This window comes from Homo sapiens, chromosome 13 (assembly GCF_000001405.40).
Source record: "Homo sapiens chromosome 13, GRCh38.p14 Primary Assembly".
In the NCBI taxonomy this organism is placed as follows: domain Eukaryota; kingdom Metazoa; phylum Chordata; class Mammalia; order Primates; family Hominidae; genus Homo; species Homo sapiens.
Genome location: NC_000013.11, coordinates 71,065,519 through 71,079,450, shown reverse-complemented (window position 1 = coordinate 71,079,450; position 13,932 = coordinate 71,065,519). Strand labels below are relative to the sequence as shown.

Sequence of the window (13,932 nt, the reverse complement as noted above, 5' to 3'; positions counted from 1 at the left end):
ATTTCAAGGCACTAATAATCTAGGGATCATGAAATAAATGTTATTTACTTTAAACAATCCAGGTAAATTTTTTATGTGTAGGTACTTAAAAACCTACAATTATAAGCAGCTTAGTCAATCTTGTTAAAAAAAAAAACTCTCTTCTGAATAACAGACAAAACAATGTACTTGATCTAATGAATTTTAATTTATCAGTTTAATCAACTTTGGTATGCCTGTTGCCAATTTCTTTGCCTTTAAACAAGAATATATGGCAATTGATCAGAAAGAATATGCTTTCTTTGTGACTTTGAAACTACGCCATTTCTGCTGCAGTTGTGTTGCTGCGATGGATGACTTTCACAACAGGAAATCAGGCCAATTTAAAGTCCAGGCACCAAGCAATTTGAGAACCACTAGCTTTATGCAGTAATATAATTATTCCCTCCGAGGCTCTTAATTGTATTCATCACACCATGATTTCTGCACAAATTAAGCATGCATTTACTGCTATATATAACTTGCTTTGCAGTTAACATTCTGGAAACAAATTTCAAGGAGATAGAATTTTGGACTTATTCATCCCATGAAATCACAAGTTCCAAATGTTAGGTATACTTTAAGGTCACGTTTTCTTCTTTCTAGTCTCTAAATAAATGAGATACCAAACTGTGCAGAGAGATGAAATATCTGGAACTGGATTTATGCAAATACATATGTTTTTCATTACCCTGAAAATTTGCAGAGAACCAAATTCTAAATATTTCCTGCATCCATACTGTTTTTCTGAAAGGAATTTTGAGCGAAATCTAAGTTACATGTAAAATCATTCTGAATCAAAAACTGTTTGAATGTATGCTCACCATCAAATATCAATTACCCATGAAATAGACTGCACATATTTAGGACTAAAATAAAATAATAAAAATGACCCCAATAAATATACACAAATAACATCATATCTTAAAAGTAAGTAGTATATTTTACCTGACATACATAGAAAAGAAATTTATATTTATGAGTTTCTAAAAATTTTAAACCAGAAAAATGAAGTTTCCTTTTAGTTTCTTTAAAATACTTTAAATGATGCAGTATGCATTCCTATAGCATTTGCTGCTGGTAGCTTTTATTACACTACTTCCCCTTATGCTGAATTTTTATCTATATTGGAAACATCGCTTTCTAGTATTTGATATAATATACTTATTTTCTCTATTTTTACCAGATTGTAAGCTCCATGAAGGCAATCACTTTTCTATCCATCCATTCATCCATCTGTCTATCATCTATCTTATATATATGTAATCTATCTTTACTGCTGCATATGCAGTGTGCCTAATAACTGTGTACAACACAGTGGGCATTCAATAAATATACGCTGAAGGAAATGCTAACTAATCTCTTCCTGTGTTAGCCCTGTCACATTCATAGACTGTAAACTCCTTGAAGGCTGGTGCTAAAGAGAGGAAGCATAGTGATCTGCATTCTCTCAGTCATACACTGTTGAGCAGAGACCATGAGCTGGGCAACAAACTAAAATGTCTAGAGTTTTTGCATTCACAAATTGTACTTGCACTTTCAAATGGCTTTGCCCTGTTTTAGTTGAATAACATAAAAATATTTAAAGTCTCTAATAGTTCATTTGTAAAAGAAGGCTAATGAGAATTGTTCAGAAATTGTTAGGACATAGTACAACACTGAATGTAGAATGCTGTAAACATAAGCCCAGCAGAAAGCAAGCACTTATTAGATGGTAGCTGCTACTTCGGGAGGATTTTTGTCTTCTATATTTGTTTACTTAGTATCTTATACATAGTAGGTGGAGGATAGATATTTTTGGAAGGTTGATTGACTTCTTTCTAGTTCCCCAAGTCAATCATCCTTAGGTCACGAGGATCTGGAAAAGAAAGAAGTCCTCATTTTAAATACAGCTCTGAAACAGGTATGAAAAATGGTGTCTGTCAGAGATGGGACCTGATTCATACAGCTGTGAGAGGACCTGAAGGGAACTAGTGGCCAAATGGGATGGGTTTATGTTTCTCTTAAGGGCAACCAACATATCTGTGAAAAGTGTTAAGCGATTTCACAAACAGACAATATCTCTGGATATTATTCAGCAGGTCAAAAGATAAGATTATAGAAAACTTGCTGACCAGAAAAACAATTTTAAGCTTTCTCATTAATGCATATTTGAAACAGTGAAAAATTGTATGAGAGTCATTGCAACAGAATGGAAAAAGTGAGAGAAAGACCTGTAAGGATTAGATGATTGGGTAATAGAGCTTACTTGTGGGGTGCAGATGAAGTAGAAAAAGTAATCAAAGATAAAATACAGACTTCTAAGTGAATATTTATGTCATTTTCTGGGGTAAGGGTTATAGAACAAGAGATAAATACCCTTTGCACATATTTTCAACACATATTTTAGGCAGAAGAATTATGCTGTGTTATTATTTGACAACATATTAATTTCCTCTTTCTACTTTCTCACCTAAATTTAATATAAGTTTTCTTTTGCTCATAAATTTAGTCTGCTCAGTGATCCACAGATAATTCAAGGTTAAAAATTATTATTTTCTCTGTTGTTATTCTTACAAAAATCAATCTGCAATTTAACTAATTAATATTTCTATTAATTTATAGAAAATACTTATGCAAGGGTGGAAGGATCAGGAAGTTTAAGGTTGTAATTTAACATCAAAATAACAAGTGAGAAAACTACACCTTTTCATCTGCAACATGCCATTTTTACATTAATGTTTGAAAGTTGAAAATTAGAATAATTGATTTTCTGTATATGCACTTAATTGCAATATTTGTGACCATATTATTGAACTGAATATTAAATTGGCATTTTGCAAAACCTTTCATTTGCAGATTGTACGCTTTTAAATTCTGTGTTCTCATCTATCAGCTTCAAGTCCTCCAGTCTATAGCCTTCTTAAATGGTGTTAACACAACTTCATTACATAGCAATATATACTATACAAATGTTAATTATGTATTTGACCTTGTTAATAACATGGCAATGTTACAATTTTGATTTGCTTTTAAAAACTATAGATAAAAAAATTTATGTAAAAGGATATAGAAAATAATCAGTAATGCAATTAGTTGCAAACCTATTTAAACATGTAGGCATAAAATGTCCCCAACATGTTATTAATTTACTCAATCTATTTTTAGGAGAAAGCAATAACATTCAGGATGCACAGTTATTTTTTTAAAAATTTTATGTACTATAATTCTTATGGGCTAATTAAAGAAAAAGTAATATAATAACATGACATTGTTTAAAAGTACCTCAAAAATAATTTTACATGTTTTACTAAGTAATATTCCATTTCATATATATTTCCTTTTTTTGGAAAATCATAACAAGCACAATACTTTGAAAACCATTATTATCATGTTTGTGTCTTTTAATAATAAAATACAGCAGTCAATAAATTTTGCATACTTCTAAATTCATGCTATCTACACGTTTTGTCATATAATAAGTAACATAATGATAAAGTGGGCAAGAATCAGAAAGATAGAGGGAGAGAAAGAGGTAAAGGCAGACAGAGACGAAGAGACTAGGAACTGATAGGTAATATTTATACAAGTAAAAAAGGAAGTCAACTGGAATAGATTCATTGGTGTTTTATGTGCCATCTTCTTCTAATAAGATCACATTTCCAGAAAATCAAGTCTGCATAAATATGGTAAAATCAAGGGCTACTGAAGTCACTAAGCTCCAGTTTTCTTAAATGACAAACAAAAGTGAAAAGCAAAGAAACAAACAAAAAGATTCTAAGGGAATTAGTTGTCTGCAACAAGAGAAATAGAATTAACAGAGAACAAAACAGCATTCTACTAAAGTACCAAGAGAGAACAAATTACTGGCAGAGCCTAAATGGCATAAAAGGAGCATTTATTGTCATGAATATTCATGTCACTTGTGTTTCACTTGCAAGAAAACTTTAGCAGGAGCTTCTTGAGTCTTCCTAGCATCGTAACCAACAGTCCAAGGTGGGTCCTGAGAAGAAAACTAAAGAAATACAAAATTTGGCACTAAAGAAAGAGAAAGTTTGGGGAAGAAAAGGGGATATACGTTCTCCAAGTGGCAGATATCAGTGTGTAGTATCCCCTGATAATGGAACTTGTGATGAGAAAATTCACTGTGCCTTGTATATTCTAGGTTTACTGAAGCCCTTGATGGGAATGACAACCAGAGCCCCAAGTGAGTTTGTATGAGCTGTATTACTTTTACACTCCGTGCCAAAAGTTAGGCTAGAAATATATTTGTAGTAAATTCTAAAACAGTTAATTCACGACACCTCATTCTTGAAGGTGACTTGCTTTGAATACTTCTATACATTTCGGTAGGGAGGTAGTGAAAGTTTAAATGTTACAAACTCAGATAAAATGCTGAAGAATAACTCTATAAATACTATGTGAGCCTAGATTTTCTTTATATTATGACAATTAATTAATTATGTCATTGATTTCCTAATTTTTCTTTTCTTATGCAGAAAAAGAAATATGTAGTTTCTTTCATTATATGATTTTTATATTTTTGTGATCTATGGGGATGCTTTTGTACTTTAAAAATACTAGCTACTTTCACTGTAATTTGTATTTGCCTGTAAAGTTAGTGAGTAATCTTTTATTGTTTTTGAAAAAGATAAAAGTTCAACTTTGTGGGTTTTGGTTTTCGAAAATATGCTGTCAATGTGCATAAACCATTATTTTTTTCAAGTGCTCATTATACACCTTTAGAAATAATGTCAGTTTATCTTAGGACTTTTACAATCTATATAGATGAGTTTTAATTAATTAGAGAAGAAAGGCATGAATGACAAACTTAAAGATTATTCACTCAAAAAGAGAATGTTTCCATATTAGGAGCCAAAACAGTATTAGGAGCTGAGAATAGAAGCATAAATAAAATGCCAAATCTGCCTTTGGGAATCTTAAATCAGCTTAATAGCTAAACACAACACACTATATTTCTGGCTTTACTAAATTGGATGTAACATATTTTACAAAATTAGTGAAAACTCTTATTCATGGGAGGGAGTTTCCATGTGCATACAGCATAGAAGGGCTAAGTTTTATTTAAGAAAAGAAAACTTGTTTTAAAAAGTCACTTTCTAAAGATGCATTGCAAACACGCTTTGGTTTGGGATACAAGAATGACATAAGAAGCATAACAGTGCAGATGTGGGGGGTTGAATTATCACACTGCCATTTGTGACAAAAAATACATATAGCACAGCATTACATGTGATTTTTACTTTGAATTTTCAAGTTTGTACTTTAGATAATTATAATACTAATGGTAATGTTTTTAAAAAATAAAGGTATGCAAAGAATCTTCTACTTTTATTCTTTAAGCATACATGCCTGTAAATAATCCTCTATTTTTTACAGGAGACTTAATTCTCTGTGTTTGCAAGGATAACGAGAAGTTGAAAGTTACACAGTGATAGGAAGGGACAATGAATCTGAAAGCATTATATTTTTTAAAAATTATTTTTTAGAAAGAGAGTCTAACTCTGTTTCCCAGGCCAAAGTATAGTGATCACATTTCACTGCAGCCTCAAACTCCTAGGCTCAAGGGATCCTTCTTCCACATCCTTTGGAGTGGCTGGGACTACAGGTGCATGTCACTATGCCTGACTAATTTTAAAAAATAATTTTAGAAATGAGGTTTTGCTATGATGCTCTGTCTGGTCTTGAACTCCTGGCCTCAAACAATCTTCCTGCCTTAGCCTCTGGAGTAGCTGGGATTACAGGTGCAAGCTATGACCCTGGCTTGGGAAGCATTATCTTAAAAACATTGTGCCCTACTAAGAATGGACCAAGAGCTTTATGTTGGGCCCACACTCGAAAGACTTCCCCTTATTTTATACTCAAATTATTAGCGAGGATATGAGCTAGAGAATATTCTACAGATCAAGTAGGGGTGTGCTGAATTTTCTCTAATAAAATAACTGGTTTTTCCCTCATCATTGCTGATACAAAGAGGTTACAAACAAGTTTAAGTTTGAAATTGGAAAAAGAGGGAGAAAGAAATTAACAACAAAGAGAAAGCAAAGGAATGGATAAGAATGAAAAAAACAAACAAAAACCAGAAGACTGAGTACAAATGCTGATAGTGGTTTGATTTTGCATGAGCTTCAAAGGGATGATGATTTAGCATGGTGAACTTGGAAAAGTGGATTTAGAAAAGGAAACAGGTTTATGCTATACATAGGGGCAGATGTGAGCATCACTGGTTTCCTGCAACCTAAAGTTACAATAAAACAAAATAAAAAACAAAAAGTACATCTATATCTACATCTCCATCTATATCTGTATCTACACACACACATGCATTTTGCATACGTATTTCCCATATATATTTACTATACTTATTCTCCATAATGAAGGTATTTCTAATGGTATTTTTTTAAATTATTTTTGGTATTCAAAGGGGTACAAAATAAAGGCAAGAACAAGCAATCTGAGTCAAAACCTCTAGGTTCTAGAGCTGTCTGTCTTGTAATTAGATTCATGTTCTTAATAAGAGCACTTAACCTCTTTAAGCCTTTTTTCTCAATAGTCTATGGGGGATTAAACAATAGCCTTAACCATACAAGCTTTCCTTTAAATTTCTCTGTAACTGGGAATGCTGATGCTTCCAGAGTTGTATACACAAATAGTCTGTAAGCTCTAAAGGACTTTACAACTATTGAGAATGGTAATGATAATATGCTTTAGAAAATGTTGATTTACATTAGCTTAAATGTGCCCTGCACAAATAAGTTAATTTCATGACTAACAATCATTTTTGGTTTTGTGTGTGTGTAATGAATAAAGAACATGAGGCATTATACAGTTTTTTCCTTCTCAACAGATTTCTGCACATAGAAAAAATATATGTAGAGGGAAAAAATTAGCCTTTCATGTACTCCAGTGCTTTGTATGCTGAAATAATTTATTTTTAAGAGAATTTATAAAATAGTACAGCATTAAAAATGAAAAAAGAAATTCATTGAGTTATTCTTTATCACATGATTGCTCATGGAAACTTGGTTTAGGTCACAGCCATACAAAATATCGGACTTTATTCAATGCTCTCAGGAAAAAATGTAAAAGTCAAGTTTGCTCATGTCACTAAGTGATAGAAATCATCCTGTTTGATCCCAGTCTTTTGTTACACTTAAAAGAGAAAAAGAACTCCTATAAATTCCTGAAATAAATCAAGTTTCTCAAAAAGCTCAAAATTAAAAAGAACTTAACAGAAAAACATTTTCAAAATGTCATTGACATAAGAGGGATCTCTGGGAAGATGAAGGCATAGGAAGCACCAGGAATCTTGCTTCTTATCTAAACAAACAATGACAGTGTTAAAATCTGTCTAATATAACTATTTTGGAGTTCTAGAGTCTATTGAAGTCTTGCCACATCCAGGGGAAGACTTGGTTGGTAATTTATAATTAATTTTGGTTAATTACAAAGTTTTGCACAGTATAATCTATCCATCCCCCACCCCTAGTCCCATAGCAGACAGCTGTGCAGGTTTCTGAAGCAGCCTGTACACAACTTGCAGGAGCCAGGGTGGGCAAAAAGGATCCTGCTCTTTACTCTCTGGGAGCTGTGCTCGGACCACTAATTTCAGCTGTTGGTCACAGAGATGCAAAAAAATATGTGGACAGACATTGTCTTGAATTTATACCCATTATTGAAAGCCTCTTCTCTTCCAACTGAAGTGAATTCCAGGAGATTTAAAAGGCCTGCATTCTTTCTTCTCTTCATTTTTATCTTTTCCCCTTTTGGGAAGATAAAAATAAAGACTAAGACATTCAAAAGCAACTGCTTATATGAGGAAAATTAGAAAATGACTGTGTATGCCCAGGAAAAGTTTTCGACTCAGAAAAGACCTGAGAAGACATCAAGTTTGCACCTTAGGCTGATCCTTGGTACAGAGACAGCCCACAACAATCAAAACTCACAAAAACAATATACAAAAACAAAAGGAAAAAATAAATAAATAAATCCTGGAGAAATGAGGGAAATCTGACTTCCAGGGTTACCACATTGGATCTAACAAAGATTCAAGTAATTTAACCTTTAATAAAGATTCAAATAATTCAATAGTCATTAAAGATTTAGTAATAATAAATAACGTAATAAAGATTCAAATGTTTATTGAGATGAGGCAAAACAAGATTGCAGAATAGAATCCTCCAGTGGTTATCTCCCCTCAGGAACACCAAATTAAACAACTAGAAACTCATATACACAATTGTTTAAACTTGTCTTTAAGAAATAATTATTAAGCCGGGCACAGTGGCTCATGCCTGTAATTCCAGCATTTTAGGAGGCCAAGGCAGGCAGATCACTTGAGGTCAGGGGTTCGAGACCAACTGGGACAACATAGTGAAACCCTATCTCTGTGAAAAATACAAAAATTATCTGGGCGTGATGATGCACTCCTGTAATCCCAGCCACTCAGGAGCCTGAGACAGGAGATCACTTGAACCTGGGAGGCAGAGGTTGCAGTGAGTCAAGCTCACGCCACTGCACTCCAGCCTGGGCAACAGAGTGAGATTCCATCTCAAAAAAAAAAAAAAAAATCAAAAGTTTGAAAGACAGAGGGAAATTTGAAAGCAGCAAGAGAGAAATGACGAGCCACATATAAGGGATTCTCAATAAGATTTTAAACAGTTTTTCATCAGAACGCTAGAAGTAATAAAACAGTGGGCCAATATATTTAAAAGCTAAATGAAGAAAACTGTCAACCAAAGTTCCTATGTCTGGCAAAGTGTCCTTCAAAAGTAAGGAAGAAATTTCAGATAAACAAAATCTGAGTGAGTCATTATCACTAGGTATCCGCTCTGTAAAAAATGCTCAAGGGAGTCCTTCAATGTGAAAGGGAAAGACACTAGACAGTAAACTGAAGCCATATGAAGAAATAAAAATCTCAACACATGTAAATACATGAGTAGTTATAAAACCTAGTATTATTGTAACACTGGTTTGTAATTCTACTTTTTGTTATCTGAATGATTTAAAATACTTGTACATTAAAGGAAAACAATCAATTCTTAATCTAAATGTAGTATTATTGTAACTTTGGTTTGTAGTTCCACATTTTGTTTTCTACATGGAACTAAAAAAAATCCTGAATAGCCAAGACGATCCTAAGCTAAAAGAACAAAGCTGGAGGTATCATGCTACCTGACTTCAAGCTGTACTACAATTCTACAGTAATCAAAACAGCATGGTACTATTACAAGAATAGACACATAGACCAAGGGAACAGAATAGAGAACTCAGAAATGAGACTGCACACCTACAACCATCCAATATTTGACAAACCTGAAAACAACAAGCAATCAGGAGAGGATTTCCTACTTAATAAATGGTGCTTAGAGAACTGGCAAGCTATATGCAGAAAATTGAAACTGGACCCCTTCCTTTCACCATATACAAAAATCAACTCAAGATGGATTAAAGACTTAAATACAGATCACCTGAGGTCGGGAGTTCAAGACCAGCCTGACTAATATGGAGAAACCCCGTCTCTACTAAAAAAAATACAAAATTAGCCAGGTGTGGTGGCAGGCGCCTGTAATCCCAGCTACTGGGGAGGCTGAGGCAGGAGAATTGCTTAACCTGGGAGGTGGAGGTTGCGGTGAGCCGAGATCATGCCACTGCACTCCAGCCTGGGCAACAAGAGCGAAACTCCGTCAAAAAAAAAAAAAAAAAAAAAAAAGACCCTAAAACTATAAAAACCTAAAAACCCTAGAAGAAAACCTAGGCAATACCATTCAGAACATAAGCACAGGCAAAGATTTCATGATGAAGATGTCAAAAACAATTGCAACAAAAGTCAAAATTGACAAATGGGATCTAATTAAACTAAAGGGCTTCTGCACAGCAAAAGAAACTATCATCAGAGTAAACAGACAACCTACAGAATGGGAGAAAACTTTTACAACCTATCAATCTGACAAAGGTCTAATATCCAGCATCTACAAGGAACTTAAACAAATTTACAAAGAAAAAAAACAAATAACTCCATTAAAAGTGGGCAAAAGACATGAAGAGACACTCCTCAAAACAAGACATACATGTGGCCAACAAACAAATGAAAAAAAAAAAAAGCTCAACATCACAGATCATTAGAGAAATGCAAATCAAAACCACAATGAGAAAGCATCTCACACCAGCAGAATAACTATTATTAAAAAGTCAGAAAACAACAGATGCTGGTGAGGTAGTGGAGAAAAAGGAATGCTTTTACACAGTTGATGAGACTGTAAATTAGTTCAACCATTGTGGAAAACAGTGTGTCAATTCCTCAAAGACCTAAAAACAGAAATACTATTCAACCCAGCAATCTCATTACTAGATATACACCCAAAAGAATATAAATTGTTCTACTACAAAAACACATGCACACACATGTTCAGGGCAACACTAGTCACAATAGCAAAGACATGGAATCAACCTATAAGCCCATCACTGATAGACTGGATAAAGAAAATGTGGTACATACACACCATGGAATACTATGCAGCCATAAAAAGGAACACAATCATGTCCTTTGCAGGGACATAGATGAAGCTGGAAGCCATTATCCTCAGCAAACTAACTCAGGAACAAAAAACTAAATACCAAATGTTCTCACTTTTAAGTGAGAGCTGAATGATGAGAAAACATGGGCCACTTGGGGGTGGGGAACAACACACACTGGGGCCTGTTGGAGGGTGAGGGGTGGAAGCAAGGAGAGCATTAGGAAGAACAACTAATGGATGCTGGGCTTAATACATAGGTGATGGGATGATCTTTGCAGCAAAACACCATGGCACACATTTACCTGTGTCGCAAACCTGCACATTCTGCACATGTACCCCTGAACTTAAAATAAAAGTTGGAAATCAAAAAAAGAAAAAGAAAATAGGCATCTTAAAATGCAGTTATAAAGTGGCAAAAGCTTTTAGACAACCATTAACTGTCCTCATGGAAGAACAGATTAAAATGTCTAAAAGAAATAGAAATGTTAAATGCTCTAATTTTGCATCAAGTACGTAATTTATTTTTTGTTTTGTTTTATATCCAACCAGTTGAAAGCTACAAAATAATACAGCACAGATTTCTTTTCATTGGTCCTATAATACTTCCCCTGGAACAATTATGCATGCAATTCAGGGACCGTCACAGCCAAACTGATGCCTTCCCTTGGGACCACGATGAACAATTGCTCTTCCCCATGGGGTGGCTCTAAAAACTGAGTCTAAAAGCAGAGCCTGTTTGATGAATAGCAGGAGCCCTCTGGACTGTGCCACTCTTTGTGGATGGGAGAGAGAGGCTACACCACTGGGCCAAAATACTTCCTACCAAATGGTCAACTGCAAATTAAGTGACTGCTGCAGAGCTCTGTAATAAGCAAGGAAGAGAAAGCATGACAACTTTTAAAAATTAGGAAAGACATGTTTTTTTGTTTATTTCTAAATCCCTAAGAGATTTAGAAAGCTGGACTCCAGGCAATCCAGACCCAGGACAGATTCTTTCTGCTTGGGGAAAGGAGAAGGAAGAGTACAGAGGCCTTTGTCTTGTACTTTGTGTACCAGCTCACCCACAGGAAAACAAAACACCAGACAGATTCTGGAAGCCCCCAGTTTCAGGCCTATTCTCTTGGATGATGCTTTTATACCCAACCTGGGCCATGAAAGAATCCACTTCTGTGATGTGATGGTCAATCCATGTAGGATTCACTACAGACTGACTTAAGTGACCTTGGGCCTTGAATAAATGTCAGAGGCAGCCAGGCAGTAGTTGCCACAGGTCTTAGGCAAGCCCCACTGTTATGCTGGTCCGGAAGGTCATAGGCATGAGGTGAGACACAGTGCAGTGCTAGCTGTGGTGGCCATAGGATTATTCATGTCACCCCTACCCGATCTTCAGGCAGCCAAACACAGAGACTCTTTCTGGAAGGAGGAAAAGAGCAAAGAGAGTAAGAGACCTTCACTGGTAACCCAGGGAATTTTTTATTGCTCCCAAGTTCACCAAGGCTGCATATCCAGGAGCTTGCAAGAGTTATAGTTTCCCTGGGCTTAGGGTATCCCCTAGTGCTGAAACAGCTGCAGTGACCACAGGCCTAGGTCACAACACTTAATCCCTGTTTAATTCTTAGAAAGCACTCTCAAGAAGGATGAGTGTATCTATCCAAAGGAAAAGAAGTCATTATATGAAAAAAGACACTTGAACACGCATGTTTATAGCAGCACACTTCACACTGCAAAAATATGGAACCAGCCTAAATGCTTATCAACCAACAAATAGGTAAGAAAATAATATATATATAGTGGAATATGACTTAGCCATAGAAAGGAATGAAATAATGTCATTCACAGCCACCTGGATGGAGTTAGTAACTCCATCTAAGTGAAGTAACTCAAGAATGGAAAACCAAACATGGTATGTTCTCACTTATAAGTGGGAGCTAAGCTATGAGGATGCAAAGCCATAAGAATGATATAATGGACTTTGGGGACTCAGGGGGAATGGTGGGAGGTGAGGGATAAAAGACTACATATTAGATACAGTATATTCTGCTCAGGTGACAGGTGCACCAACATCTCAATAATTATTCCATGTAACCAAATACCACCTGTTCCCCCAAACTAACTGAAATGTTTAAAAGGAATACAAAAAAAAAGAAAAAAGAAAAGAAAAGAAGGAAGGAAGGAAAAGGAGAAAGAGAGAGGAAGAAAGAAGGAAAGAGAGAGAAAGAGAGAGAGAAAGAAAAAGAAAGAAAGAAAGGAGGAAAGAAAGAGGATTTTTTTTTTTTTTTTGAAACGGAGTTTCACTCTTCAGTGCAATGGCATGATCTCAGCTCACTGCAACCTCGGCCTCCTGATTCAAGCAATTCTCCTGCCTCAGCTTCCCAAGTAGCTGGGATTACAGGTGCCTGCTACCACACCCGGCTAATTTTGTATTTTTAGTAGAGATGGGGTTTCACCATGTTGGTCAGGCTGGTCTTGAACTCCTGACCTCAGGTGATCCCCCCACCATTACCTCCCAAAGTGCTGGGATTACAGGCGTGAGCCACCACGCCTGGGCAGATTTCTTATTTTAAGTACACATCACACAAAATTTGCCATCTTAACCATGTTTAAGTTTACAGTTTGGTAGTGTTAAATACATTCCCTTTTTTTAAGCTTTTATTTTAGTTTTGGAGGTACACATGAAGGTTTGTTACAAAGGTAAACTTGTGTCACAGTGGTTTTTGGATAGATTATTTCATTACCCAGGTCATAACCCAGTATCCAATTTTTATCTTTTCTGCTTCTCTCTCTCCTCCCACACTCCACCCTCAAGTAGAAGCCAGTGTTGGTTGTTTCCTATTTTGTGTTCTTAAGTTATCATTTTGCTCCCACTTATAAGTGAAAACACATGGTATTTGGTTTTCTGCTCCGGTGTTAGTTTGCTAAAGATATGGCCTCCAGTGCCATCCATGTTCCTGCAAAAGATGTAATCTAATTCTTTTTTATGGCTGCATAGTATTTCCTGGTGTATATGTACCACATTTTCTTTATCCAATCTGTCATGGACGGTCATTTAGATTGATTCCATGTGTTTGCTATTGTGAATAGTGCTTCAGTGAACATTCAGGTACATGCGTCTTTATGGTAGAATGATTTATATTCCTCAGGGTATATGAAGTATACCCAGTAATGGGATTGCTGGATCAAATGATAGTTCTCATTTTAGCTCTTTGAGGAATCTCCATGCTGCTTACCACAATGGTTGACTTAATATACACTCCCATCAACAGTTTATAAGTGTTCCCTTTTCTCCACAACCTTGCTAGCACTTTTTCCTTTTTTTTTTTTTTTTTTTTTTTTTTTTTTTTTTTGAGATGGAGCCTCTCTCTGTCACCCAGGCTGGAGTGCAGTGGCACAATCTTGG

At 35.3% G+C, this 13,932-nt stretch overlaps 1 long non-coding RNA gene across 1 annotated transcript in view; it reads right to left on the bottom strand.

Annotated features, from left to right (window-relative positions):
• Positions 1-13,932, bottom strand: part of LINC00348 (long intergenic non-protein coding RNA 348) — a 153,277-nt gene that overhangs the window by 88,967 nt on the left and 50,378 nt on the right. The window lies entirely within an intron of this gene.